The sequence below is a fragment of the Homo sapiens genome, chromosome 6 (genome assembly GCF_000001405.40).
Source record: "Homo sapiens chromosome 6, GRCh38.p14 Primary Assembly".
NCBI classification, from domain to species: Eukaryota; Metazoa; Chordata; class Mammalia; order Primates; family Hominidae; genus Homo; species Homo sapiens.
In genome coordinates, this window is record NC_000006.12 from 26,521,501 (window position 1) to 26,547,907 (window position 26,407).

Here is a 26,407-nt window from a genome sequence, read left to right on the forward strand (position 1 = left end):
AATCTCACCTCCTTTTTCCGTTTCTCCTCTGTCTCTAGTTGTCTTTCCCTCTCCCTCCTTCACAGGCAGAGTTGAATAAATGTTACTCTTCAGTTCATGGCTCATTACATTACTGCAGGGCTCCTCTTTATTTAGTTATAGTTATCTTTTTAATTCCATTTCTTCAGTCTCATTCCCCACCTCATCCTTACTCCCCGTAAGAAATCACTGCAAGAGTTCCGGTCTGGCAGAGAGCGCGGAGAGACGCAGAGCGCGGGCCGCTCCTCCAGGGCGCTCCAGGCCCTCCGGCCCCGGGTCGGCGGGTGAGCTAGGGGGCGCCCCGGGACAGGCCGCGCCCTCTGCCCTGCAGATACCGGAGGCCTCTGCTGTGGCTGCCCACTGGCTGGGCCCAGGCCTTGAAGCGGTGGCGAACGTCTCTTCCCTACCCTACCTCGGTGACTGATGGCGGCGGCGGCCTCTCCCAGTCCGGACCCTGCCGGCCGTCGGGTCTCCCGGCCCAAGCCTGCCGGGCCTGGACGAAACCCCCGCCGAGCAGCCTGGACGCAGCGCCTTTGGGTGGCGGCGGGAGTAGCGTGCCGGGAAGCATGGCGGCCGCTCGAACGCCGCGCGGCGGAGGGCGTTAGGGCATGGAGGGCCCGGGAAGGCGGCCTAGGGACGCAGGCAGGCTCGGCCGCCTCTTCAGGCCACGGAGCCGCCAGATCTGGGTCCCGGGTGACCACTCTGTCGCCATTGGGCGAGACCTACCTAGTCCTAACGACAACGGACAAAGGCCTTAACGGGCCTGGGAGGTGAGCGAAGTCCCGAACGACGACGGGTGGAACGGTTAGCGGCGATCGGGCGGTTGGTCTCCGTACTACCAGACCTTGCTGTCGGAAGAGACAAATGGTAGAATGACAGGCCACGTTTGGCCCGTTGGAAATGCCCTCCATCCTCTGGGAAGATTCACAGGCCGTTTACGGAAGGCCTGTGTATATAATATGAAAAAGCTGCTCTCAACTCCACCCCAACCTTTTAATAGAAAACATTTGTCACATCTAGCCCTTCTAGATGGAAAGAGGTTGCCGACGTATGATAGAGTTAGAAAGTCACACATCTTGTAAATTCTCATTTGTTTAAAAGAAATCATAGAAAATACATGTCTTCCGGAGTTGACTTTTGGAAACTGAGTTGTTAGACGGCCTCTAGAAGCGATACGTTCACGTTTGTTCAGTGGGTTAGATGACATGGAGCTCGAAGACCTGAGAAGGAAAAAAAGAAGGTTCTATGCTAGACTGGTCATATTTAGAAGACATTTTCATATTCTATCCATTGTTTTGTGTGCATTCGCTTCCTCACTACTATGTATGTAGTTGACAATGCTAAGCTTTTTTGAAATGTCTATTCTTTTTAGATATTCTGAAGTGTCTGATATATGTTAAAATTAGAGGTAGTAAAACCACATTTTGTAAATATCTTTTTGTTACAATTCATAGAAATGTTGTTTTTTGGGGGGAATGGCCAAATCACCTGTTGAGTAATACTCATTGTGTTTGTGCAGTAGTTCAGGGGAGGAGAGAGGAGGGGGAGGTGCAGAGAGCTCTATGCCATCCTGCTTACAGCGAGGCAAGATGAATCACTATGTCTGTGCATTTTGTTTTATCTATGTATATAATGTACATAAAGGACAAACGAGTCCTAATTTACAACATCTAGTCTTTCTGGATGTTAAAGAGGTTGCCAGTGTATAACAAAACTAGAGTTAGTAAACTAATATATTTTGTACATTTTGTTTTACAAGTCCTAGGAAAGACTGTCTTCTGAAAATTTGAGCATTCTTGCCCACTGGGTTGATGGAGATGGGAAGGGTTCTAGGCCAGAATGTTCACATTTGGAAGACTCTTTCAAATTATAACTGTTGTTACATGTTTGCAGTTTATTCGAGACTGCTGTGTACATACATAGTGGACAAATTAACTCCTTACTTGAAACATTTAGACTATCTAGATGTTTAGAAGTGCCCGATGTATATTAAATGTAGAGGTAGTAAAATACCAATTTGTAAATATCTTTTTGCTAAAATTCATAGGAAATACTTTTGGAAGTTGAATTGTGAAGCCACCTTTGTGAGCAGTATATTACTGTCTATACTTGCTCAATGGTTTAGAGGAGGTGGGAGGGAAGAAATTGCAAAAGATAATATGCTAGTGTGTTCATACTTGGACATTTTCAGACACCATTTTTCTGTATGTTTTGTGCATTTTGTTTTGCTCTGTATATAGTGTATATAATGGACAAATAGTCTTAATTTTTTAACATCTAGAGGTTGCCAGTGTATGACAAAGTAGTAAAATTAGCATATTTTGTATGCTTTGTGTTGAAATTCATAGGAAAACTTGTCTTCTGTAATTGACTTTTGCATAGGAATTTGTTCAGCCATCTCTAAGCATTACACATGCGTGTACTTGTCCACTGAATTGAAGGCAGAGAAGGAAGAGAAGAGGGAATGATTCAAGGCCAAAATGGTCACATTTAGAAGATACCTTAGATGATAACCATTGTTATGTGTGTGCAGTTTTATTTAACAGTGCCGTGTACATGGTGGACAGGCTATGAAATATCTAGTCTTTAGATATTTGGAAGTGCTTGATGTATTTTAAAGTAGTAGTAGTAGAATAACACTTTTTGTAAATAGCTTTTAAAAACTGATGGGAAATGCTGTTTGGAAGTGGATTTGTTGAACCACCTGGGAGGTGGGAGGGAAAAAATTGCAAAAGGTGTTTTGCCATTGTTTATTAGAAAATTTCAGCTTAATCCATTGCCTATATGTTACAAGCATTTCATTTAACTTTGCTATACTGTATATATTGTGTATATACTGGACAAATGAGTCCTGATTTTATAATATCTAGTCTGTAGCTATTAAAGAGGTTGCCAGTGTATGACAAAAGTAGTTAGTAAACTAACGCATTTTGTACACTTTGTTAAAATTCATAGAGAGGCTGTCTTCTGAAAAGGACTTTTTGGAAGTGAAATGATAACATCAGCTCGAAGTGACACATGTGCTTATATCCACCAGGTTGGTGGTGGAGAGGAGTTGGAAGGAATGAAGGGTTCTAGACCAGAATGTTCCTATTTAGAAGACACTTTCAGATATAACCATTGTTACATGTGTGTAGTTTATTCAACAGTGCTATGTATATAGTGGACACACTTAAGTCCTTATTTGAAATATCTAGTCTTTCTAGATGTTTAGAAGTGCACAAAGCATGTTAAAAGTAGAGGTAGTAAGTAACACATTTTGTAGTTATTTTGATATGAAATATTGTCTTGGAAATTGATCAATTCTCTGAGAAGTACACGTTATGATATTTGTGCTGGTTCAGGGGGAAGAAGGAGCACAAAGTTCAAAGGGCTTTCTACCAGTGTCCAGTGTGTTTATGATGAGGCACATTGACCATTGTCCCTTATGTCTGCATTTTCGTTTACTGTGCTGTGTATATAAGCAGACATAGGAGTCCTAATTTATATCTAGTCGATGTTAAAGAGGTTGCCAGTGTATGGCAAAAGTAGAGTTAGTAAACTAATACATTGAGTACACTTTGTGTTAAAATTCATAAGGAACACTTCTTAAAAACAGAAGTAAAATTGTTAAACGCCCCCCGCCCCCAAGCATTACAGATGGCTTATAGCTGTCAACGGGGTTGGTAGAGGTCAGAAAGGGAAGTGTTCTAGGCCAGAATGTTCCTATTTAGAAGACACTCAAATTATAGTCTATGTTATGTATATATGCCATTTATTCAATACTACTGTGTATATAATGGAAAACTTAAGTGCAGTTTGAAACATCTAGTCTTTCTAGGTGTTTAAAAGTGCACAATGGTCAGGTGCGGTGGCTCACTCCTGTAATCCTGGCACTTTGGGAGGCTGAGGTGGGCAGATCACGAAGTCAAGGGATCGAGACTATCTTGGCCAACATGGTGAAACCCCATCTCTACAAAAAATACAAAAATTAGCTGGTCGTGGTGGCACATGCCTGTAGTCCCAGCTACTCGGGAGGCTGAGGCAGGAGAATCGCTTGAGCCCGGGAGACAGAGGTTGCAGTAAGCCGAGACCACACCACTGCACTCCAGCATGGCGACAGAGCAAGACTCCATCTCAAAAAAAAAAAAAAAAAAAAATTCCACAACATAGGTTAAAAGTAGAGGGCTAAAGTAACACCCCTCTAAGCATTTGTTTTCAGTACTTCCTAGGAGTGGTTGCATTTGGGAATGGAATTGTTAAAACTTGATGCTTAGGAGCGTATGCTGACTATTCACTGCGTGGTGGGGTGGGGAGGAGGAGGAGGTATGCAGGGAGAAGGGTTCTGTGCCCCTGAGTTAGATTAGTTCAGATGGTCTAACCATTGTTCTATGTATGCATTTTATTGTGTTAATATTGTGTATTAAAGGATAAACAAGTCTTAATGCTCAAAGTATGTTAAAAATAGATGTAGTGAATCAGTCCCTTTGTGAATGTCCTATTGTTAGTTTTTAGGAAGGCCTGTCTTCTGGGAGTGACCTTTATTAGTCCACTTCTTGGAGCTAGACGTCCTATACTTAGTCACTGGGGATGGTGAAAGAGGGAGAAGAGGAAGGGCGAAGGGAAGGGCTCTTTGCTAGTATCTCCATTTCTAGAAGATGGTTTTAGATGATAACCACAGGTCTATATGAGCATTTTTAGTAAAGTGCCTGTGTTTATTGTGGACAGAGTTTATTATTTTGCAACATCTAACCTTTATGAATATCTGAGGTGACAATGTGTGATAAAAACTAGAGCTAGTGGGCCAGGCGCGGTGGCTCATGCCTGTAATCCCAACATTTTGGGAGGCTGAGGCAGGCAGATCACAAGGTCAAGAGATCGAGACCATCCTGGTCAACATGGTGAAACCCCATCTCTACTAAAAATACAAAAATTAGCTGGGCGTGGTGGCGCGTGCCTGTAGTCCCAGCTTCTCAGGAGGCTGAGGCAGGAGAATCACTTGAACCTGGGAGGCGGAGGTTGCAGTGAGCCAATATTGCGCCACTGCACTCCAGCCTGGGCAACACAGCAAGACTCCATCTCAAAAAAAAAAAAACTAGAGCTAGTGAATTAGCCAATTTGTAAATACCTTTTTATAAGTGATAGAAAAGATGCATCTTGGACATGGAATTGTTAAACCGCCTCTGAGCAGTATATGTCAGGACTTGTTCATTAGGTTGGCAGCAGAGGGGCAGAAGGAAGTATACAGGGAGAGATGTATGCAGATGTGTCCATATGTGTCCATATTTACATTTTGATGATAGCCATTGATGTATGCATCTCTTTTGGCTGTACTATAGGAATACATTAAGTAATTCAATGGAAATATACCTTGCTAATATTATAATGGTATAGCTCTGTTAATGAATTCTCTTAGAAACATTATACTTAATGTATTCTGTTGCTGTATGTTTCATTTTAATTGAGCATTAAGGGAATGCAGCATTTAAATCAGAACTCTGCCAATGCTTTTATCTAGAGGCGTGTTGTCATTTTTGTCTTCTATGAAATTTTTGTCCCAAGAAAGGTAGGACTACATTTTTTTTTAACAGATTAAGTTGGTGTAGTGTATTCTTGTTTATCAAAATACTAATAAAGCTTTGGGATTTTGAATTGGTAAATATTCATGATGTGTCAAAAATCATGATACATACTGTACAATCTCAGTCCCATAAGATGGGATGTTGTGCCTACACACACACAGGACCTAGAAGAACATGTCAAACTGTAAACTGCTTGTGATTGTGAATGACTTTGTTGTTTGCTTCTTGTGATTTTCAGTTTCCTATAATGCACATATTAACATATTAACTTTTTAAAATAAAGGTTATTTTAAAAGCCTGTTTAAAAAAAAAAATCACTGGAAAAGGCATCCTTTTCTTTCTATATGCTTTTATAGAACAGGTACGATTGGTTTGGGTGAATGTGTTTTTATTTTATGTAAGTGGTACTGCGTCATAGATCTCTTTCTTATTCCATTGGTACCGCAGTTTTGAGCTATGTTGCTGTGTGCACATCTAAACCAACTATTTTCATTGCCACATAGAGGTCTGCAATGTGAAGTCACCTACTCTTCCACTTTGCCACTACAAATAAGGGTTCCATCAATGAACATCTTCCTATATTTCAATTATGAGGCTGTGTAAGATTTTCCTTGAGATACAGCAGGAACACATTGCACGTCATGAGATCTGACAATCTACTAATTTTGCAGTTCAGAACAGGACCTAGGACCCAGGGAGCATGATGTATACACACAGAAGTTCATGTTTAATGACATCTCCAGAAATATTCCTCAAATTGAAGTTTCCTAATGTCTAGCCTGATCATCCTGAGCATTAATAGCTACTGTTAGAAACATGAATAGGCAATGTTTCTATTTTGAGCTCATAATTTACTGCAAAGCCTCAATTAATCAAAAACCTCAGATGACTGGAATTTTCTCTTCATTATTCCTTTTTAAAAAAGAAATTCAATCTAATTACTGAGTTACCAAAGCAGAATATAGAGTGAATCTGTTTTATGATCATTGATATTCAAAATTTTTCTGCCCTCTTTCTCTCCTAAAACACTCAAACTTCACAAAAAGATTCAAGCATGCACTAAAAGAAAAATGAATTGATATGTGTTAGAAATATCATCATCAGCAAGGCTAGAAAAGAACAAAGGTCCCCCTTATTGCCCAAGTATTCACTCCACATATTCACTCCATTTCTGCCTACCCTGACATTCTGATCAAACGTGGCTTTGAATCCCTCCTTCAGAGGTGGCAACATAAGAGAAAGGAGGAAATGGCAAATAGGTGTACCCCCTAGGGTAGCAGAAAAAACACTTAAAGGTGCTTGGAAGGCCAGCAGATTAGTCGAATTCAATTCAGGCTGCCTAGGCCCATCTCTGGACGTTGCCACTTGCCAGCTACTTACCTTCCAGGAAAGTGACTTTGCATCCTTGTGCCTCAGTGCCCTTCTCTTTAAAATGGAGGAAATAACTGTACCTTTCCTCATAACTATGCAGTAAGGATTACATGACTTGGAATATGTAAAAAGCTTAGAAGAGTGTCTGGCAAACAACAAATGCCTGATACATTGTATTTTTTTTTTCATAGTTGAGTACCTGCTTGTATTAGGGTCCTTCAGAAATACCGAACTAATAGTCTATCTATCTATTAACTATGTATGTATGTGTGTATGTATCTATCTATCTATGCCTGTCTATGGAGAGAGAGACAGTAATTTATGATAAGGAATTGGTTCACACAATTATGGAGGAGGCTGAGAAGTCCCACAATCTGCCATCTGCTAGCTGGAGCCCCAGAAAAACAGGTAGTGTAATTCAGTTTGGGTCTCAATCAGGCCTGAAAGCCCCGGGAGTCAACGAAGTAAATCCCAGTCCAAGAGCAAGAGGAAAAAAAATGAGATGTAAATCAGTGGGGTAGGGGGAGAAGAGGTGAATTCCTCCTTCCTCAACCTTTGTTCTATTAAGGCCCTTAACAAATGGGAGGGATCATACCCGGGAGGGCAATTTGCTTTACTGAGTCCCTGATTCAGATGATAATCTCATCCAGAAGCACCCTGAGATAAGGTCTCGCTCTGTCACCTAGGCTAGAGTGCAGTGGCACAACCAGGGCTCGCTGCAGCCTCGATCTTCTGGGCTCAAGCATTCCTCCCACCTCAGTCTCATGAGTAGCTGGGACTACAGGTGCGTACCACCACACCTGGCTAATTTTTAATTTTTTTTTTTTTGTAGCGACATGAGGGCCTCACTATGTTGGCCAGGCTGGTCTCAAACTCCTGGGCTCAAGCGATCCTCCTACCTCGGCCTCCCAAAGTGCTGGGAGTACGGGCATGAGCCACCAAGCCCAGCCAGAAACAATGTGTAATCTGAGTATCTAATGAACCACTCTAATTGACACATAATATTAATCATCACACTGCTGTTGGCCAGGCCCTGTGCTGGTCTCTGGAGATACAGCAGTGAAGAGGACAGGCACAGCCCTTGCCTTGAGAAGTAAACAGGCTAGCTCAGACAGATATGAAGCAAGTAGATGAGCATCGCTACTTAGAATGCAATGGGAAACACAGTCCCTTCTAGCTCCACCTGCCCATAGGAGAACCTCAGCAGCTGAGCTAGAGGCCCTACTTAATCCACAACTTGTAAATTCAAATGCTATCCAAACTGCTTTGGTAAGGCATTGTCTTTTTAAAAGAAAGCATGAAACACCTGACACTTATCAACTGCCAAGTCAAATGTTCTCCGCCTATCTCCAGACAAAAAACAGTTTTAAGACTTGCACATACCCTCACCTAACTGCTTTCCACTTATCTGAACTGAGCATTCTCTTCCTCACCTTTAGTTACACACTGTTCCCTTTGCCCAGGGCATCTATTCTACTCCTCCCACGTCTATCCTCTTTCCTTGACAAGTTCTGTGTCTCCCTCATGGCTCAGTGTGGGTATCACTTCTTCCATAAAGTCTTCCTTCCACCTTCGCCCAATCAGGGTTTTTGTTTGTCTGTTTTTCTGTTTTGTTTTGTTTTTTTCAGCCTCAACCTCCTGAGCTCAAGAGATCCTTCCGCCTCAGCCTCCCGAGTAGCTACGGCTACAGGTACACACCATTATGCCAGGCTAATTTATTTTATGTAGAGATGTGGTCTCACTATGGACTATGTTGCCCAAGCTGGTCTTCAGCTCCTGGCTTCAAGTGATCCTCCTACCTTAGCATCCCAAAGTGCTGAGATTACAGAGGTGATCCCCACTGCACCCAGCCCCACACAGACAGGTTTGTTTTCAAATGAGGCTGCAGGCCAGCGCAGTGACCCATGCCTGTAATCCCAACACTTTGGAAGACCTAGGCCAGAGTATGTCTGGAGCCCAGGAGTTGGAGAACAGCCTGGACAATATTATGAAACCCTATCTCTACAAACAAAACAAAAATCACCTGGACGTGGTGGCAGACCCATAGTGGCACACACTGGTAGGCCTAGCTACTCAAGGAGGCTGAAGCAGCAGGATTGCTTGAGCCCAGGAGTTCAAGACTGCAGTGAGTTAGGATTGTGCTATTGCACCCCAGCCTGGGCAACTGAGCCAGACTCTGTCCCTAAAAAAAATAAATAAATAAGCAAATGTGGGGCCGAGCGTGGTGGCTCACACCTGTAATCCCAGCACTTCGGGAGGCCGAGGCAGGTGGATCACTTGAGGTCAGGAATTCGAGACAAGCCTGGCCAACATGGTGAAGCCCGTCTCTACTAAAAATACAAAAAGTAGCCGGGCGTGGTGGTGGGTGCCCGTAGTCCCAGCTACTCGGGAGGCTGAGGCAGGAGAATCGTTGAACCCAGGAGGCAGAGGTAGCAGTGAGCCAAGATTGCGCCATTGCACTCCGGCCTGGGCAACAGAGCGAGACTCCATCTCTAAATAAATAAATAAATAAATAGGCAAGTGTGGCTCAAAGCACCCTGTACTCCCAATAGTATTACATCCCACTATACTATAACTGCCATTAAATTGTTCTCCCTTCCCATCAGCCTCTTCACCCATGTGTGATTAGCATGGTAACTGCCACATAGTAATTGGCCATTGACAAATAGCCACTCACTAGACAAACAAGCATCTGATTGCAAACCATTTCCACTTTTACACATAAATTGTTTCCATGATGTATCCATATATGGAGAACTAGGAAGACATAGGCTTTTGGGAAAGATAGTGAGACTCATCACCTGGAATATTCAATAGCTTCAGTAGCCAGTACCACTACTGCCAACTCAGTGTACAGACCATGCAATCTGTTGAGGGCCACTTGGCCACAAGCCTCCTATAAAGGTATTTCTGGAGCTGATGGAGCAGGAGAGTGGAAATGAGGCAGGATTGGTAAGGGGATGAATTAGTGATTTAGTGTTGACATCTGCACCAGTGACCCAGCCTGTCTTATCATTTGAGGGAAGTTTGTATCTGGGCCTAGGGAAAAAGAACAGAAGATAGAAGGCTCTAGTGAAAAAAAAGAAGGGTCTGCCTTTCCATTGGTGCTTGATGTTTATAAAGAAAAGTGGGGAATTGGCCGGGGGCGGTGGTTCACACCTGTAATCCCAGCACTTTGGGAGGCCGAGGTGGGCAGATCACCTGAGGTCAGGAGTTCAAGACTAGCCTGACCAGCATGGTGAAACCCCGTCTCTACTAAAAATACAAAAATTAGCCGGGCATAATAGTGGGCGCCTGTAATCCCAACTACTCGGGAGGCTGAGGCAGGAGAATTGCTTGAACCCTGGAAGCAGAGGTTGCAGTGAGCCAAGATCACACCACTGCACTCCAGTCTGGGTGACAGAGCGAGGCTCCGTCTCAAAAAAAAAAAAAAAAACAACAACAAAAAAGAAAAGTGGGGAATTAAGCTGCGGAATGGGAGTAGAAAGTCTCCATAAAAGTAGAGTTGCTTCTGAGCTGTTCCTCCAAGTGTTGGGATTTTGTCTCCAGAGCTAGAACAGGAAATCATATTGCAAGCCTTGACAATCTACATAAAATAATATGCTCTGAAAGCAAAAGCCAGAGAAGTGGAACTTTCTGTGCCAGGTGAGCTGTGGGCTGGGTCTTGGGAGATGGGTGAGAGGGTTGGTAATAGTTACAGTGAACTTCCATTTCCTTGGTCTTGTGTTTCTATGTGGAGAACTTCTGCTAAGAGTAAAACTGACTTCTTTCCTACTTCTCAATTTCTCTTTCTTCCTCTTGGAGAGTTTGGGAGAAGGCATCTCAACCCTTCCTGGACTTCTTCAAGTCAGCCTGTTCTAGTGGGCCCCATAAGCAAATGGAGGCTTCTCTGACAGCTTCTTTTCTCAAGTCTTGGTGACAAATATTTGTTTTTGCTTTGATTTGTTCCTTTCCAAAAAACTCTGAGTACAATGCAATCTTTTTAAATAGCGAATCACAGCTTGTTTTATGTGGCCAGATCTTACTGTTTGCTGTGAATTTTCAGAGATGCTACAGCCTTCTCAACAACAGATTATGAATCATTCCAAAGATTGACCTTCTAAAAACATTACCTGCAGATTCTGACAATGAATCTGTTTAGGATTTCCCCAGGAAAGAAAATAGAATGACTAGAGATTATGATGTTGCTTGTAGTTTAAATTTGGTGTTTGCCTTCTGCTTTCCCTGGTTCCTCTCGTACATGTTGTAAGATATAACATGTGGAAGAAAAGTGTAAGAAAAGCAAGAAATTCAGAATTTCATTATTCTGAAAGAAAGCCAAATTTATCTTTGCTTCTTTTTCGTAAACAAGGAGGTTTCACACCGGACGCATATAAAACACTTTGATGGAGCCCCATAGGGGAAAATAACCTTTCACGCATACTTCAACTGTTCCGTGGGTACTTTGAATGCAGGAAAACTACAACAGGCCCCGCTGGGATTCGAACCCAGGATCTCCTGTTTACTAGACAGGCGCTTTAACCAGCTAAGCCACGGAGCCACCATGCCTGCGGTGGTACAAATGAGCATAGAAAAGAGATGATCTTTGCCTTTGTTCTGTGCATTGATACACTTTCTTGTTACTGAGGTTTGAAAGTAGCTACACGCTTCTTCAGACACTGAAGATTAACCTTGGCTTCGCCCCAAAAGACCTAAGAAACCGCTCAGCTGCAGGATAACGAGGTTTTTCGCGTGGGGGAGGTGGGGGGTGAGGGAAAGGCTGGCGATAGCCTGACCCCCGCCCCGGGGCGAACAGGAGAGTCCTCCGAGAAACTGCCTCAAATAGCAAGCAGCTCATCCTAACGTGGATAAAGTATGACCTCGGGCTTCAGGGAGAAGAGGGTAGGAGAGCGGGTAGCCAGCCACATTTACAGAACACTCCTCCGAGTCGTGTAATGCATTTACACCAGAACACTTACGGCACCAAGAACTGATCTAGCAGGAAGGAAGCTATTTGTTTCTTATTTCATGGCTTTTAAATTAAACTGGAATTAGATTAAAATTCCAGTCATTCCTTACCCCATTTCTTTCCGTTAAAACTGGGCTCCACCTACCTGCTTCTTGCTTATTAAAGATTAACTAATGGGGTTCCAGAGTTGCTTCTTAAAAATGCAAGATTTAAGAATTAACAACTTAATCTTGGAAAGAGATAAAGAAGTCCCCTTCCCGGTATAGCTACACAGAAAGAAAAGCTTTCTTGTCCTAATACTTGTCCAAAGGATCTGATTTGATGTGTCAAATCAGCATTATATATATGTGTGTGTGTGTGTGTGTGTGTATGTGTATATATATATTATATATATATAGAGAGAGAGAGAGAGAGAAAATTTCTATATTGTCATGGGGGCTTATGTGTTTCCAACTTATTCTGTTCTCTATTAAAAATAAATCTGATCTTGGGAGTATAATTTGAATAAAGGGGTTTAATGAAATTCTGAAGAGTATACAAATTGTTGGCACAGCTGTGAAAGTAACTTCCCAAATGAAACCTGTAATTATGTTTGGCTGTTTTACTTGAAATCTGTTGTCCTGGTGGTTATGCTGAAACAGACATTTCAGTATTCCTTAGCTGTATCAATATTTGAAGGATTTCTCTGTCACAGTCTAAGGCAGACATTGGCATGTACCTTTGCCTATGTATGCGATGGGGGGAACAGTAAAAGGTCACGCCGACTAGAGTTTTCATTTTTATAAAAAGATGCAAGTCGGCCGGGCGCAGTGGCTCACGCCTGTAATCCCAGCACTTTGGGAGGCCGAGGCGGGCGGATCACGAGGTCAGGAGATCGAGACCATCCTGGCTAACACGGTGAAACCCCATCTCTACTAAAAATACAAAAAAATTAGCCAGGTGTGGTGGTGGGCGCCTGTAGTCCCAGCTACTCGGGAGGCTGAGCCAGGCGAATGGCGTGAACCTGGGAGGCAGAGCTTGCAGTGAGCTGAGGTCGCGCCACTGCACTCCACCCCGGGCGACAGAGCGAGACTCCGTCTCAAAAAAAAAAAAAAAAAAAAGATGCCAGTCTATGAATTCAGCACTCACTTTGATTGAGACTCATGAAATAAGCACTTATTACTTTATTATTATAAGATTAGCCATCATATTATTAGTGTGCTTGGAGCCAATATAATCATCATAAATAGCACAGTCACACCTAATATGGCTTTAACCCAACTGTGGCAGGCCCCAGACAGCAGAGCCAATAGTATTTTATTTTGGTTTTTCCTTTGGCAGCTGACGAAGTTTGCACAGAATTTCTAGAATGTCAAAGGAATTGTTTAGCCAGAGATGAGCCTTGGAAGCAAATTGAGACTTTGAGCAATCATTTACAGAACTCTTGGTGTGAACCATATCTTCTATTCAGTTCCGACTGTGATTAGGAACCATGGAACCCTCACATTGGCTCCGCTCCACACGTCTGAAATTGGAGAGGATGCAGGTGGCTGTGTCACAGACTGCCGACAGTCATGTAAAACAATGTGAGAGTGGCAGATGGTGTAGTTTTCCATGTGCCTGGGAGTGAAACTAAAAAAAACTGCACTGAAACACAGAGAAGAGTCCACCACTGTCATAGTTGTATGTGTCAACTTAGGCTACCCAGTTATTCAATTAAACACTAACCTACATGTTTCTGTGAAGTTATCTTGTAAATGTGGTTAACAATCAGTTAACCTTAAAAAAAGATTCTCCCTTATGTAGATGGGCCTTATCCAATCAGTTAAAAGGCTTTGAGAGCAAAACAAAGGCCTCCCTAAGGAAGAAGAAATTCTGTTTCAAGACTTCAGCATCAGCTTCTGCCTGAGAGTTTCCAGCCTGCCCTACAACCCTACAGGTTTCAGACTTGCCAGTCCTCACCCTAGATATATATAGATATATATCTAGATTTATATATCTGGACTCTTTCTCCGATATATGCTGAAGAAAAGACTGGAAGTTGAAACTGGAACTGTCAGAAAAGATGTAGAAAGATTTCCAAGAGCAAAGCAAAAGCATTTCTTTTTTTTTTTTTTTGAGACAGAGTTTTGCTCTTATTGCCTGGGCTGGAGTGCAATGGGCGCGATCTCGGCTCACTGCAACCTCCGCCTCCCGGGTTCAAGTAATTCTCCTGCCTCAGCTTCCCGAGTAGCTGGGACCCACGTCCGGCTAATTTTTTGTATTTTTAGTAGAGACGGGGTTTTACCATGTTGGGCAGGCTGGTCTCGATTTCCTTACCTCGTGATCCGCCCACCTCGGCCTCCCAAAGCGCTGGGATTACAGGCGTGAGCCACCACGCCCAGCTGAAAGCATTTATTGTAGTGAATATGGCTAAGAAATTTGAGGCACCCAAGGGAGGTCTTCAAAGCCTGCAAAACACAGATAAATTTTTATAGACAAACACTAAGGAGACTGAATGTGGACAGAGCCTACAGCCAGCTGGGTTAAAGCTCATTTTTAAGGTGCTAGGTGGGACCTGTGACTTCCAGGGATGCTCTAGCCTGACCAGCATGGAGAAACCCCGTCTCTACTAAAAATACAAAATTAGCCGGGCGTGGTGGAGCATGCCTGTAATCCCAGCTACTTGAGAGGCTGAGGCAGGAGAATCGCTTGAACCCGGGAGGCAGAGGTTGCGGTGAGCCGAGATCGCGCCATTGCACTCCAGCCTGGGCAATAAGAGCAAAATTCTGTCTCCAAAAAAAAAAAAAAAAAAGTTTTGGTAACCTATTTTAACATAATTAGTTTTCTTTTGAAATCTTACATATTTATCTTTTCTTTCGTGTATTTAAAAGTATTATTCTGAGATAGAGTCCAGAATCACCAAGCTGCCCTTGGGGTCCATAGTACAAAACCTAACGAGAAGATCCCTATGCTATTGCCTAGGGAGTAATCCATAACCTAGGTCTACCTTAATATTTATGCAGAAAGAGCAGAATATTTTTTGTAACGGCTGTTGAAACCTTATGAACTGAAAACAAATATTTTCTAATCTCAAAGTGTATATTCTCAATATCAGGCAGTTTTACTTCTGTTTAGTAGACCTCATCTTATTTAAAATGCTCACCAGGCATGGGGATGATTTATTCTCAGAAATATGGACAAACTAAAACACACACATATGAGACGTTTGTTTGCTTTCAAAGTGAAAAAGTGAACATTCATATGAGTGTCCGGGTTGATGATGCTCCTTATAAAGCTGTCAAATTCTGAGATCAAGGCCCTGCAGTAGAAGCAGCATGCAGTGAGGAGGCCTAGCACAGTTTCGCTTAGTAAAATATTTGAAGAAAAAAAAAAAAAGACCCACAGAGAGACAAATGAAAACTCAGACCACGTCACCGTACAACGGCTTCCAGTTTCCTACAGAATACCAGCCAGAGTCCTTACAAGAGCCTGTAAAGCTGGCCAGAGTCCTTACAAGGGCCTATAAAGCTGGAGGTGGTCTCCCAGGATCTCCTATTCCTCTCCACTGAGCACCGGCCTCCTCAACATAACTCCCAAGCCTGCTTCCACCTCCAGGCCTTTTCCCTAGCGATTTTTCCCTGTTCCAGATCACTCATTTCCCCGATATCAGCATTTATCCCTCATTCATCACTTTCACTGCTGGCCTTTCCTATCCTCTTTCCCTGTTTTATTATTATTTTTCTCCAATCGCTTATCACTATTATTTTGTTTATTTAATGCTTTATTATCCGCTTCCGCCACTGCCATGTAATCTTGAGGGCAAGGGTCTCTCATGTTTTCTTCACCGTTATCTGCAGTGCCTTGAACACTAATACTGGTTGAATGAACGAACGCATTAATGGAGCGGTGATATTGGGGCAGAGAGGATGCAGGGCTTGCTTTTCACCGCCATTTTTCAGCCGGCAGAGACAGACCGAGAAAGGAATGAAGGCCACGGGGCGTGTGCAGAAGTAGCTACCAGAGAGTCCATGCGCTGCGAGCCTGGACCAGCGGGCAAACGCGGCTTACAGGCGTTCACCCAGATATTACGGGTACAACCTAGTTTCTTATGAAATACCTCGCCCCTAAGGTACGCGCAGGGCCAGTGGCGCAATGGATAACGCGTCTGACTACGGATCAGAAGATTCCAGGTTCGACTCCTGGCTGGCTCGGTGTAAGCAGGGTCGTTTTACAACTTTCTGACTCCGCAGGAGTAAGGAAATTCCTGCAAGATAAATTTGCCTGGAAGACTCAGAAGCAAGAGGGGCAGCTCCCGACAACATATGGGGTTATCATTTCTTTGCGGAGCATTCTGCCACTGACCACGTGGTAACGCCAACTACGCCAGAGAAACGCTCGCCCTACCCAAGTTGTGCCCAGCCTTGCCTGGCCATTTTGGCCGAAGAACGAAGGACCGTTCAGAGATTAAATTAAAGTCTCTATTGTGTTCTTCCCTATTCAGTCATTTGTAGAATAAATTCTATGGCTTCAGTTTGAACACTGGAGGGGCTGGGTCTGAGCTTTTCATTGGTTTTTCTGGTTTGAGAGGTCGGTACAGAGACGCACGCGCACATCAGCAAAACACGCACTTGGAACGAAGAAACACGGAACTAGGCAGGAAGAACTATTTACTCTGAAAAATAAGCCCTTAGTGGGTTTCCGTAGTGTAGTGGTTATCACGTTCGCCTCACACGCGAAAGGTCCCCGGTTCGAAACCGGGCGGAAACACGTTTTTTTTTCCTCATCTTACTACGAAATTCTTCCAGTGTGTATCTTTTAAAGACTTTTTCAGGCTGTCATAAATTTCCTGTCTTCTTGTCTTGCTAGATCGGGGCAGCAGTGCTTAGGGCGGGCCTCAGAGGCTCACACACGTATCGCCAGGGGGAGAACCAGCTCTCTCCGGCTTGGACTCGGGGCGGCTCCCCGCCTGCAGCCCCGGAAGCGCATCCTCACCTTCCCTCGCCTTCCTGTTCCTGGCGGAGCCGGGCTCCGCTCGTCTTCTCTGTCTTAGGGCTGGTGCTGGCCCTGCCCACGCCTAGGGCTCCGGCGCGTCACGGGCCTCAGCTGGGATTCCCGCGCCCCTCGGACGGCCACGAGACTCGGGTAAGTGCCTCACAGACTTTGTGCGCTACCCCGGAAAATGAGGGGCGTGGTGGGGGGGGTCCCGCCGCCCTCCGTATACTTAGGACCCTCCTGCCAGCTGGCCCCGGTCATGATTAGGGGCCTTGGGCCCCGTCAGCCCCGCCTGTCTTCCCGTCTCCAGAGTAATCGCAGCATCTCTCCTGAGCTCCGAGTGTGAATCCCTGGGAAAAGCTGAATCCAGAGGTGGGGTCACAGAGAGCCGCAGGCCCGACCGGGATGAGAAGTCCTAATCGGCGTTCTAGGGGCGTTCTAAAAGAAGGAAGGAAGGGGATTTGAAAGGATTGCTCCCGCAGGGCTGTGGCCTTAAAGAGGTGGTGACTGGCAGGTTGGACTGACCTGCCGTGGGCTCTCCCTTCCTCCCCAATTTACCTTCGAGAAACCCTCGTTGAGGAGACACCCAAGGGCTGAGTCCTCCTCCACTTTGACCTTTTGCTATTCCATCACAAAGAAAAAATGGATCCCAAAGTTAAGAAATGGACCAGCACTTGTTTAGAATCAGGACTGGTGCCTTGGTGTTTGGCCTCTTACCTCTGCCACATGGCTTGCTTACAAGTTAATCGGATTAATCAAACGCTTTTATGAGAAAGTTTTGTTGTGTCACCTGGCAGCCTCGGGTGTTCCCTAAGAGGGATTTCTTTCTTAGATGTATTACTACTTTTTCTAGGGATTAGCCAAGCCTAGCCTCTCAGATCATATTGCTCCAGGTTCCCTCAAATGACTAATAAGAATGTGATGTGTTTGTTTTTGTTTGTTTGTTTTTGAGACGGAGTCTCACTCTGTTGTCCAGGCTGGGGTGCAATGGTGCGATCTCGCTCACTGCAACCTCCACCTCGATTCTTGTGCCTCAGGCTCCCGAGCAGCTGGGACTACAGGTGTGTAACACTACACCCGGATAATTTTTGTATTTTTAGTTGGAGACGGAGTTTCACCATATTGGCCAGGCTGGTCTCAAACTCCTGACCTCAAGTGATCCGCCCGCCTCGGCCTCCCAAAGTGCTGAGATTACAGGCATGAGCCACCGCGCCCAACCGAATGTGATATTTTTATGACCATGAGAAAAGAAGGGCTGCATTCTTTGGTGGGTCCGCAAAATTAAAAAAAAAAAAAAAAAAAGAAAAGAAAAGAAAGAAAAGGACAATGTTAATGAGCTGTTTTCTTTTTATCATTTTCTTAAACAGGCTGCTTGGGTAGACGTTGACTTGAAAGGTCCATTCTTTTGTCATCTTGCTGGTTCCCTTAACAAGACAACACCTTGGCTAGCAAGATAATATCTTGGTTAGCAAGACAATAAACTTGGGCATGTGCTCAACAGCAACCTGTCTAATACATTTTCATTTAAAATCCCCTCTGTACTACTCAGAAATATAAGCAAGTTATTATGGTGCCCAGAAAGGGGGCAAAGGTTCCAGGGTCCTAGGAGATGACAAGGATTTATCCTCTTCATCTTTCTCCGATCCCAGTTAGCAGGAATACTTTAGCCTGGAAGGTGAGTGTGCCCCTAACCAACCTTTACAGATGGGTGACTGTTTGGGAGCTTATGGCTCACTCCTTCTCTTTAAAGCAGATGCATTCTGGCAAGCTGCAGCAGCAAACCTACCCTTTTAGACACCCTGCGTTTTCTCATCTTTCCTTTCTACCCCTGCATCTCCCAGTCTCTCTCACTTAACCTCCGTGGAAACTCATGCTGCGTCTCTAATACTTTGGAAGATGAAGAACAAACGCCCTGGAGAGTGACTGACACCATGTGACCTCTTGCTTCTGTAGCACACTGCATCTTGCCTGTGAATCTTTTTTTTTTTTTCTTTTTTTTTTGAGACCGGGTCTTGCTCTGTCACCCAGGCTGGAGTGCAGTGGCACAATCTTGGCTCACTGCAACCTCCGCCTCCCAGGCTCAAGTGATTCTCCTGCCTCAGCTTCCCAAGTAGTTGGGACTATAGGCATATGCCACCACACCCAGCTAATTTTTGTATTTTTAGTAGAAATGGGTTTCACCATGTTGGCCAGGCTGGTCTTGAACTCCTGACCTCAAGTGATCCACCTGCCTCCACCTCCCAAAGTGCTGGGATTACAGGCGTGAGCCACCACGCCCAGCATTTGCCTGTGCATTTTTTATTGTATTTTAATTATATCCTTTATTCTCTCCTTCCTAAGCTTGGTGTTCTTAACTTTCTTCCAGATCTTCCCTCCAACCCCCAAACACGATCTCTCCTTAAGTAAGAGGCAGGGAGGGAGAGGGGAACCTTCTGATTTCGGGGTGGGATTGAGGCTAAAACCCAAGTTAGAACTACCTCCCAGAAACCCAGTTCCGTATCCATCGAGTGATCAAAAAGATGCTGCTAAAATGTGCCTTGTGTTTGCTAGGGATGAGGTGAAAATGAGTATTGAATGAGGTGGCATTTTGGTCCATGGATTTGCTTGCTATGAAAGAGAAAAAACATGGAAAAATATATTTTGAGAGCTGGGTGAGACCCCCAAATTAATCTAATCCAAGATGTTTCCCTAGTCATTACATTCCTTTTTTTTTGAAACAGAATCTCACTCTATTGCCCAGGCTGGAGTGCAGTGGCGCAATCTCGGCTCACTGCAACCTCTGCCTCCCGGGTTCAAGCAATTCTCCTGCCTCAGCATCCTTAGTAGCTGGGATTACAGGCACGCACCACCACCCATGGCTAATTTTGTATTTTTAGTAGAGATAGGGTTTCACCATGTTGGCCAGGCTGGTCTCGAACTTCTGACCACCTTGGCCTCCCAAAGTTCTGGGATTACAGGCGTGAGCCACCACGCCCTGCCTGAGTCACTAAATTCTTACACTGTTCCCTCCTATGTTAGTCCGCTAGGGCTGCCGAAACAAGGTACCACAGGCTGAGTGACTTAAACAACAAAAATTAATTTTCTTTGACTTCTGGAGGATAGAAGTCCAAGATCAAGATGTCGGCAGGTTTGGTTTCTTCTGAGGCCTCTCCTTGGCTTGCAGATGGCCACCTCCCACTACATCCTTAGATGTGTTCCTCTATGTTGTCTGTATCCTAATCTCCTCTTCCTATAAGTACACCAGTAATATTGAATTAGGGCCCACCCATAATACCCTATTTTGCTTTTTATTTCACTATTAGTTTTTTTTTTAAAGCTATTTTTGCCAGTTAATTTAAACATCATGATCTTCTTCTAATGATAAAAATGCAAGTCTTCATGCTAACAAAAGGATTGGAAGAAGGATGAAGCAGATGTTTCTTCTCCCCTACAGCAATCTGGTTAAATGAGGAGTTAAATTGAGAGCTTTCATGAGAATTTCAGTCCAGTTCTGTGCAATGAAGACGAGTGATTCAAAACTTTCACTAACTTGCTCTGTTGTTTGTAATATAATGTTATTGGAAGAGTTATTTTAACAAAGGGGAACTGTTATATTTCTAAAACTTTTAAAATTGTTGCCATGTCTTGGGAAAATAACTTCAGTATCTGTCTTGATAATTTCTTGCCCTGATGATACCATTGAAAGTCATTTCTCTATGTTTCCAAAAGTTGTACAATTACTAGTAAGATTTATCTGCCAGTTAATAATTTTTCTTTTCTTCCACATGCATGAAGGAGTATTTGTAATGACTTTTATATTTTATCATTAACATTATTTTTTTGAACTCTTAAAATGCGTATTTTTTTTTTACATTAATAGACTTCCTTTTTTCAGAGCAATTTTTGGTTTACAGAAAATTGAGCAGAAGATACAGAGTTCCCACATACTTCCTTTCCCCCACCTCAGTTTCTCCTAAGTTATTAACAACTTACACTGGTGTGGTACATTTGTTACAAATGATGAACTAATATTGATAGCTTATTATTAACTAAAATATATAGTTTACATCAGGGTTCACTCACTGTATGAAGTTCTGTGGGTTTTGTCAAGTGCATAACATCTACCATTTTATAATATATGCCATTACAGTAGCATACAAAAGAGTTTCATTTACCTAAAAATCTCTTCTGCGCCACCTCAAATAATTTCTTCTGAGTTAAAACCACTGTGTGGTGAGAGCTCCTTCCTTTTCCAACCTCCTTGTCCTTTATGGAAATGGTAAGAGCTTTTACCCATCTCTCTGGTCCCTTTTCATTATGTGTGTATCTGTCTCCCACATTTGTAAGGTCTCTAGAGAGTCAGTGACCTGGTCTCCTAATCAGCTTCCTAAAGGTGAGTTTCAAGAATTAAATCCGTATTTATATACTCAGATACAGCATCCAGGCAGTGGCCTATTTTTCCTGATTTTATTTTGTCACCTGCTGTATTTTGGCCTTTGACATGTGGAGATCATGGCCCCCCTACTTCGGATGGACTTCAATGGATCTAACTCGAAGAAGACTGAACCCAGGAAAAGAGACTGTGTGAGCATTCTCACACCAGGAAATGGGCTGAGAAACAATTTTGGAGTGAGATGGAAGGAGAATGGTATGGAGTATCTATTCTTAGGGAAATGTGTGCTAGGCCAAAATCTCACTTTTTGGTTAAACACTCTCATTCTCTGATAACATAAAGGCCTCTAAAAATATATGCAGAATATTTGGGGTAACCTTATTATTCATTGCCCAAGTTAGGTCACCTTTCAAAGTAAAAGGGAACATTATGAATAATTATACTAGGGCAACAGGTATAAATCAAGTCACCCTACCATTAGACCAAGTGATTTTCACTGGTTCCTTCATTGTAAGAGTAACTCCTTTTGTTTCCTAAAAATTGTTAAAATGATTCCTTAATGTTGCATTTGAAATAAAGGGAAAAAGACAAAAATTAGCAATAAATTCATGTAATGTCTAGGCAAGGATTTCTTCAGAAGAGAGCAGGTCAGGTGTAGTTAGATCAGTAGAACTGTATGTCTCAGTGGCACCATTACCTTTTTTTTTTTTTTTTTTGAAGCAGAGTCTCACTCTGTCCCCCAGGCTGGAGTGCAGTGGCACAATCTCGGCTCACTGCAACCTCCGCCTCCCAGGTTCAAGCAATTCTCAGGTGGATCACCTGATGTCAGGAGTTCGAGACTAGCCTGGCCAACACGGTGAAACCCTGTCTCTAGTAAAAATACAAAAATTGGCTGGGTATGGTGGCGTGCGCCTGTAATCCCAGCTACCCAGGAGGCTGAGGCAGGAGAATTGCTTGAACCCGGGAGGCAGAGGTTGCAGTGAGCCGAGATCGCACCACTGCACTCCAGCCTGGGTGACAGAACGAGACTCTGAGACTCTATCTCAAAAAAAAAAAAAAAAAAAAAAAAAAACTGGAGCAATTTGGAGACAAGATTAAAAAAATAATAATAACATTGTAGAATGGTGGCCACTCACAAGGTTACAGAATTTCCCAGTAAATGTTTTCAAGGGTGGGGCAGAAGGTATGATAGACAAAAGCTTTAAAAAAGTCACACAGTGCCCATGAATGCCAGCCCTAGGCCTAAGTCCTAATTACTCAAACTCAAACTATTTTCCATTTCCTACCTGTGTGGCTCTCAATCTGTGCTCTGGGCTACCCACATTTTTTAGTACTTTTATTAATTCTTGAGCAGACACATACAATTTTTCTGTGTAAGACATAGGTAATACTCCAGCCATGTGCTTCCCCTACAGTTTAAAGAAGAGAATGCAACCTCCCCCATCTCTGGACTAACCTCCATGCCTTCTCCAACTACATCCCTTTCCCAACTCCCAAGAGATGACCACTGTCCAATTTTTATTTATCCCTTTTTTTTTAAGTTTTACTATATGTTTGTGGCCTCAACATGTCATAGTTTTACATGTGTAAATGGATCTATAGTGTACATATTCTTCTGCAACTTGCTATTTTTCTTCGGCATTATATTCTTGAGATTCATCCTCGTTTTTGAACCTACCTGTAATCTATTTGTTTCTGCTGCTGAATGGTATTCCCTTTTATACATACTACCAAAATATATGCATCCCTTCTACTATTGAAGGACATTTGGGTGATTTACAGGTTTTTGAAATTACAGTGTTGCTAGAAACATTCTTGTGGAGATCTCCTGTCCACACCTCCAAGAATCCCTCTAAGTAAACACCTAGAAGTAAAATTGCTTTACACAATACCACTGTTTGCAGAGTGCTTTACAAATAACCACTGTTTCCAAAAGCAAATACACTAATTGGCACACACACACAGCAGTACATAAGGGTTTTGATTGCTCCATATCAGCTGAGCCCTTGATATTGTCAGACAACTTGGTTTTCCTCAGTTTGATAGATATGAAATGTTATATCCTATGCTTTTAATATGTACTTCTTATATATTTTTAGGTGCTTATTCCTCACTCATGCTTCCAAGAAGTACCTGTTAACATTTTTTGCCATAGTTTTAAAATTTTCATTTTGTCCTTTCCTCATGGATCTATAGGAATGCTTTATGTATTCAGGATTCTAACATTTTGTCCATTATATATTTTACATATATCTTTGCCAAGCTGGTACTTATTGTTTTACTTTTATTATGCTATCTTTTTTGATATACACGAATTATTAACAATATAGTCAATTTGATTTTTAACGTTTACATTCGTCAGTCTTTCCCTTTATGGTTTACGCTTTTTGTGTCTTGTTAAAGACATCTTTCCAGGAACAGCGTGAGGAGGACAGAAGCACCCAACAGGACTGCTCAAGCCACCTGCGAACACTGCTGCTACCATGCCCAAGAGAAAGGCAAAAGGAGATGCTAAAGGTGATAAAGCAAAGGTGAAGGATGAGCCACAGAGGAGATCAGCTCGGTTGTCTGCTAAACCAGCTCCTCCAAAACCAGAGCCCAGGCCTAAAAAGGCCTCTGCAAAGAAGGGAGAGAAGCTTCCCAAAGGGAGAAAGGGGAAAGCAGATGCTGGAAAGGATGGGAACAACCCTGCAAAAAACCGAGATGCCTCTACACTCCAGTCCCAGAAAGCGGAAGGCACTGGGGATGCCAAGTGAAATGTACATTTTTGAGAGCTCTGTACTTATAGTGACTCTACTGTTTGAAATACTATTTTTTTAAATCAAGTTTTATAAAAGTGTAGAATTTTGGCTTTTTTAAGTTATGTTGTTAGCACACAGGACACTTCCTTGTTGTCTTTTGTGGAAAGGGCAAGTACCACTAATAGGGTGTATCTCAGAAACTGAATTGAAATAAGGGAAAATAGGATTTTCTGTCCTGGTTTTTGAAGATTGTTCTTGATTCCCTTGATTCCCAGGAGAGATTCTCTGACATTCACGTGTCAGCCACTTTGGCACGGAAGCCTTACAGTGTGGGGAACCAAAACTTCGTGTCTCCCCTTTCCCCGATGCCATCAGCATAGACTTGACTTCCTTAAACCGAGAGTTTTGATGTGGCCTTGGCAACCCTAAAATCAGCTGTGTTAGGTAACAAAACTCAGGCTTTCTGTTGATGACATCGAGATGGTGTCACTTAAAAGAGCCAAGATTCCTGTTTTCAGTTTGTGGATTCATCCTGCTGGTTTTACTTTAGTCCCTCCATGTCAAAGTGGGCCTGAGAAAAGCTCATACATGCCTCATGTGAAGTGTCCACCCTCTCTGAAAATCTTTCTTGTTCAAAACAGCAACGACATATCTTGTTAACTTTTACGGTGACTTTTGGAGGAGGGGAGTTTGGAAATTGTAAAATGTTATAGATTGTTGCCTATTTCCTGCTGAAAGTAAATGTTTTTAAAAAGTATCATATAAAGCTGAATACAAATTGGTTTGGGGGGAGATCCTTTCCTACCCAAAGTCATAAATATATTCTTTACTGCCTTGTGGAAATTTTATAGTTTTGCCTTTCACATTTGTCTTTAGTCTGTCCTGAACTGATTTTTGTGAAAATTATGAGTTAGAAATTCAACTTAACATTTTTCATATTCGAAGTGGTTGTCTCTGCACTATTTACTGAAAAGTTCATCCTTTCCCCAGTGATTTGTAACACTGCCTCTTTCATAAATTAAATTTTTGTGTATGTGTGTGGGTCTTTTGATGGTTTCTATTCTGACTGACATCAATTTGTCTAATCTTGTAGCAGTACAGTACAGTCCTGATTATTGCAACTTTAGGAAAAGGTCTGATAAAAACCAAGATGCCTCCACATTTTGTCATAATTGTAACCAATTTCACCTCTGTCTCCAGTATCACCACAAAATTGTTCTTCCTTGGAGTGTCTTGGCTATTCTTAGCCAACTGTTCCTCCATATTACTTCTAGAATTAGACCAACAATTTATAAATCAAACAAACCCAAGAGCATTGAAATTTTGATTGGATTTGTATTGAATTTATAGATTAATCTGGTAAACCATGTCATCTTTACAATGTTGTCTTCCAATACATGAATATGGTACAGCTCTTCATTTACTTAGGCCTTTGAAATATCTTTCAATAAAGTTTATAATTTTCTCCATAAAGGTCTTCTTGTTAATATTTCCTAGGGACTTTATGCTTTTTAACACTACTTCGTATGGTATATTTTTAGTTACCACATTTTCTGTTTTTAGCTAATGTTGATTTCGATTTTTGTATCCAGCAGCCTTGCTACCTCTCATTCTTGTATCTGCATATTCTTGTGGGTTTGTTTGTTTTTTTTACATAGACAACCATATATTCTGTGTATACAAACAATTTTGTTTCTTCTTAGTCCTTATTATACCTGTAATTTCTTTTTCAAATGGTCAGCGTAGTCTAGGTGTTGGTGTCTGCTTTTTTTTTTTTTTTTTTTTTTTCCCAGACAGAGTCTCACTCTGTCTTCCAGACTGGAGTGCAGTGGTGTGATCTTGGCTCACTGCAACTTCCACCTCCCGGGTTCAAACGATTCTTCTGCCTCAGCCTCCGAGTACCTGGGACTACAGGCGCGCGCCACCACACCCGGCCAATGTTTGTATTTTTAGTAGAGACGGAGTTTCACCATGTTGGCCATGCTGGTCTCGAACTCCTGACCTCAGGTGATCCACCCGCCTCAGCCTCTCAAAGTGCTGGGATTACAGTCGTGCGCCACCACGCCCGGCCGTGTCTCTGCATTTTTTTTTGAAATGGAGTCTCACTCTGTTACCCAGGCTAGAGTGCAGTGGCGCAATCTCTGCTCACTGCAACCTCCGCCCCCGATTCTCCTGCCTCAGCCTCCCGAGTAGCTGGTATTACAGGCACCTACCACCAGGCCCGGCTAATTTTATTATTATTATTATTTTGCATTTTTAGAAGAGACGGGGTTTTGCCATATTGGCCAGGCTGATCTCAACCTCCTGGCCTCAAGTGATCAGCCCGCCTCGGCCTCCCAAAGTGCTGGGATTACAGGCATCAGCCACCATGCCTGGTGCCATTAGAGTTTCGAGCAAAGAAATGGCACAATCTAAGGTGTTTTATATATGTGTGTGTGTGAGT

The 26,407-nt window shown here is 42.9% G+C and overlaps 1 protein-coding gene, 2 long non-coding RNA genes and 3 other non-coding genes across 6 annotated transcripts in view, besides 8 other annotated features; 4 read left to right on the top strand and 2 right to left on the bottom strand.

The window, feature by feature from the left end:
- Positions 1–5,898, bottom strand: part of LOC107986583 (uncharacterized) — a 40,750-nt gene extending 34,852 nt beyond the window's left edge. The window contains exon 1 of the long non-coding RNA XR_001744057.3: positions 9–5,898. This is a non-coding gene — a long non-coding RNA (uncharacterized LOC107986583). The remainder of the gene's footprint in view (positions 1–8) is intronic.
- Positions 142–661: a silencer, noted in NCBI's record as "silent region_17011". NCBI's record gives its function as "represses an Ori minimal core promoter by ATAC-STARR-seq in GM12878 lymphoblastoid cells {active_cell/tissue: GM12878}" and the evidence as "EXISTENCE:reporter gene assay evidence [ECO:0000049][PMID:35858748]".
- Positions 206–5,893, top strand: HCG11 (HLA complex group 11). Its single transcript, NR_026790.1, has one exon. It is a non-coding gene; the product is annotated as an HLA complex group 11 (long non-coding RNA).
- Positions 11,204–11,957: a transcriptional cis regulatory region, noted in NCBI's record as "candidate enhancer chr6.1172 targeted for multiplex CRISPR interference". NCBI's record gives its function as "positively regulates H2BC5 gene expression in K562 cells {active_cell/tissue: K562}" and the evidence as "EXISTENCE:mutant phenotype evidence [ECO:0000015][PMID:30612741]".
- Positions 11,373–11,462: a silencer, noted in NCBI's record as "silent region_17012". NCBI's record gives its function as "represses an Ori minimal core promoter by ATAC-STARR-seq in GM12878 lymphoblastoid cells {active_cell/tissue: GM12878}" and the evidence as "EXISTENCE:reporter gene assay evidence [ECO:0000049][PMID:35858748]".
- TRT-AGT2-1 (tRNA-Thr (anticodon AGT) 2-1) lies at positions 11,417–11,490 on the bottom strand. The gene has a single exon. It is a non-coding gene; the product is annotated as a tRNA-Thr (tRNA).
- Positions 14,563–15,062: an enhancer, noted in NCBI's record as "H3K4me1 hESC enhancer chr6:26536291-26536790 (GRCh37/hg19 assembly coordinates)". NCBI's record gives its function as "activates a minimal SCP1, AML or CMV promoter by ChIP-STARR-seq in naive H9 embryonic stem cells {active_cell/tissue: H9 hESC(naive)}" and the evidence as "EXISTENCE:reporter gene assay evidence [ECO:0000049][PMID:30033119]".
- Positions 15,152–15,816: an enhancer, noted in NCBI's record as "H3K27ac hESC enhancer chr6:26536880-26537544 (GRCh37/hg19 assembly coordinates)". NCBI's record gives its function as "activates a minimal SCP1, AML or CMV promoter by ChIP-STARR-seq in naive H9 embryonic stem cells {active_cell/tissue: H9 hESC(naive)}" and the evidence as "EXISTENCE:reporter gene assay evidence [ECO:0000049][PMID:30033119]".
- Positions 15,850–16,143: a silencer, noted in NCBI's record as "fragment chr6:26537578-26537871 (GRCh37/hg19 assembly coordinates)". NCBI's record gives its function as "represses an EF-1alpha promoter that drives an FKBP-Casp9 reporter gene in an ReSE screen in HepG2 liver carcinoma cells {active_cell/tissue: HepG2}" and the evidence as "EXISTENCE:reporter gene assay evidence [ECO:0000049][PMID:32094911]".
- Positions 15,998–16,070, top strand: TRR-ACG1-2 (tRNA-Arg (anticodon ACG) 1-2). The gene has a single exon. It is a non-coding gene; the product is annotated as a tRNA-Arg (tRNA).
- Positions 16,537–16,586: a silencer, noted in NCBI's record as "silent region_17013". NCBI's record gives its function as "represses an Ori minimal core promoter by ATAC-STARR-seq in GM12878 lymphoblastoid cells {active_cell/tissue: GM12878}" and the evidence as "EXISTENCE:reporter gene assay evidence [ECO:0000049][PMID:35858748]".
- Positions 16,554–16,626, top strand: TRV-CAC1-6 (tRNA-Val (anticodon CAC) 1-6). Its single transcript has one exon. It is a non-coding gene; the product is annotated as a tRNA-Val (tRNA).
- Positions 16,866–25,433, top strand: HMGN4 (high mobility group nucleosomal binding domain 4). Its single transcript, NM_006353.3, has 2 exons — positions 16,866–17,001; positions 23,627–25,433. The coding sequence occupies exon 2, from the start codon at positions 23,707–23,709 to the stop codon at positions 23,977–23,979; it is 273 nt and encodes a 90-aa protein (NP_006344.1). The 5' UTR covers positions 16,866–17,001; positions 23,627–23,706; the 3' UTR covers positions 23,980–25,433.
- Positions 17,077–17,486: an enhancer, noted in NCBI's record as "active region_24246". NCBI's record gives its function as "activates an Ori minimal core promoter by ATAC-STARR-seq in GM12878 lymphoblastoid cells {active_cell/tissue: GM12878}" and the evidence as "EXISTENCE:reporter gene assay evidence [ECO:0000049][PMID:35858748]".
- Positions 25,434–26,407: the final 974 nt, after the last annotated feature.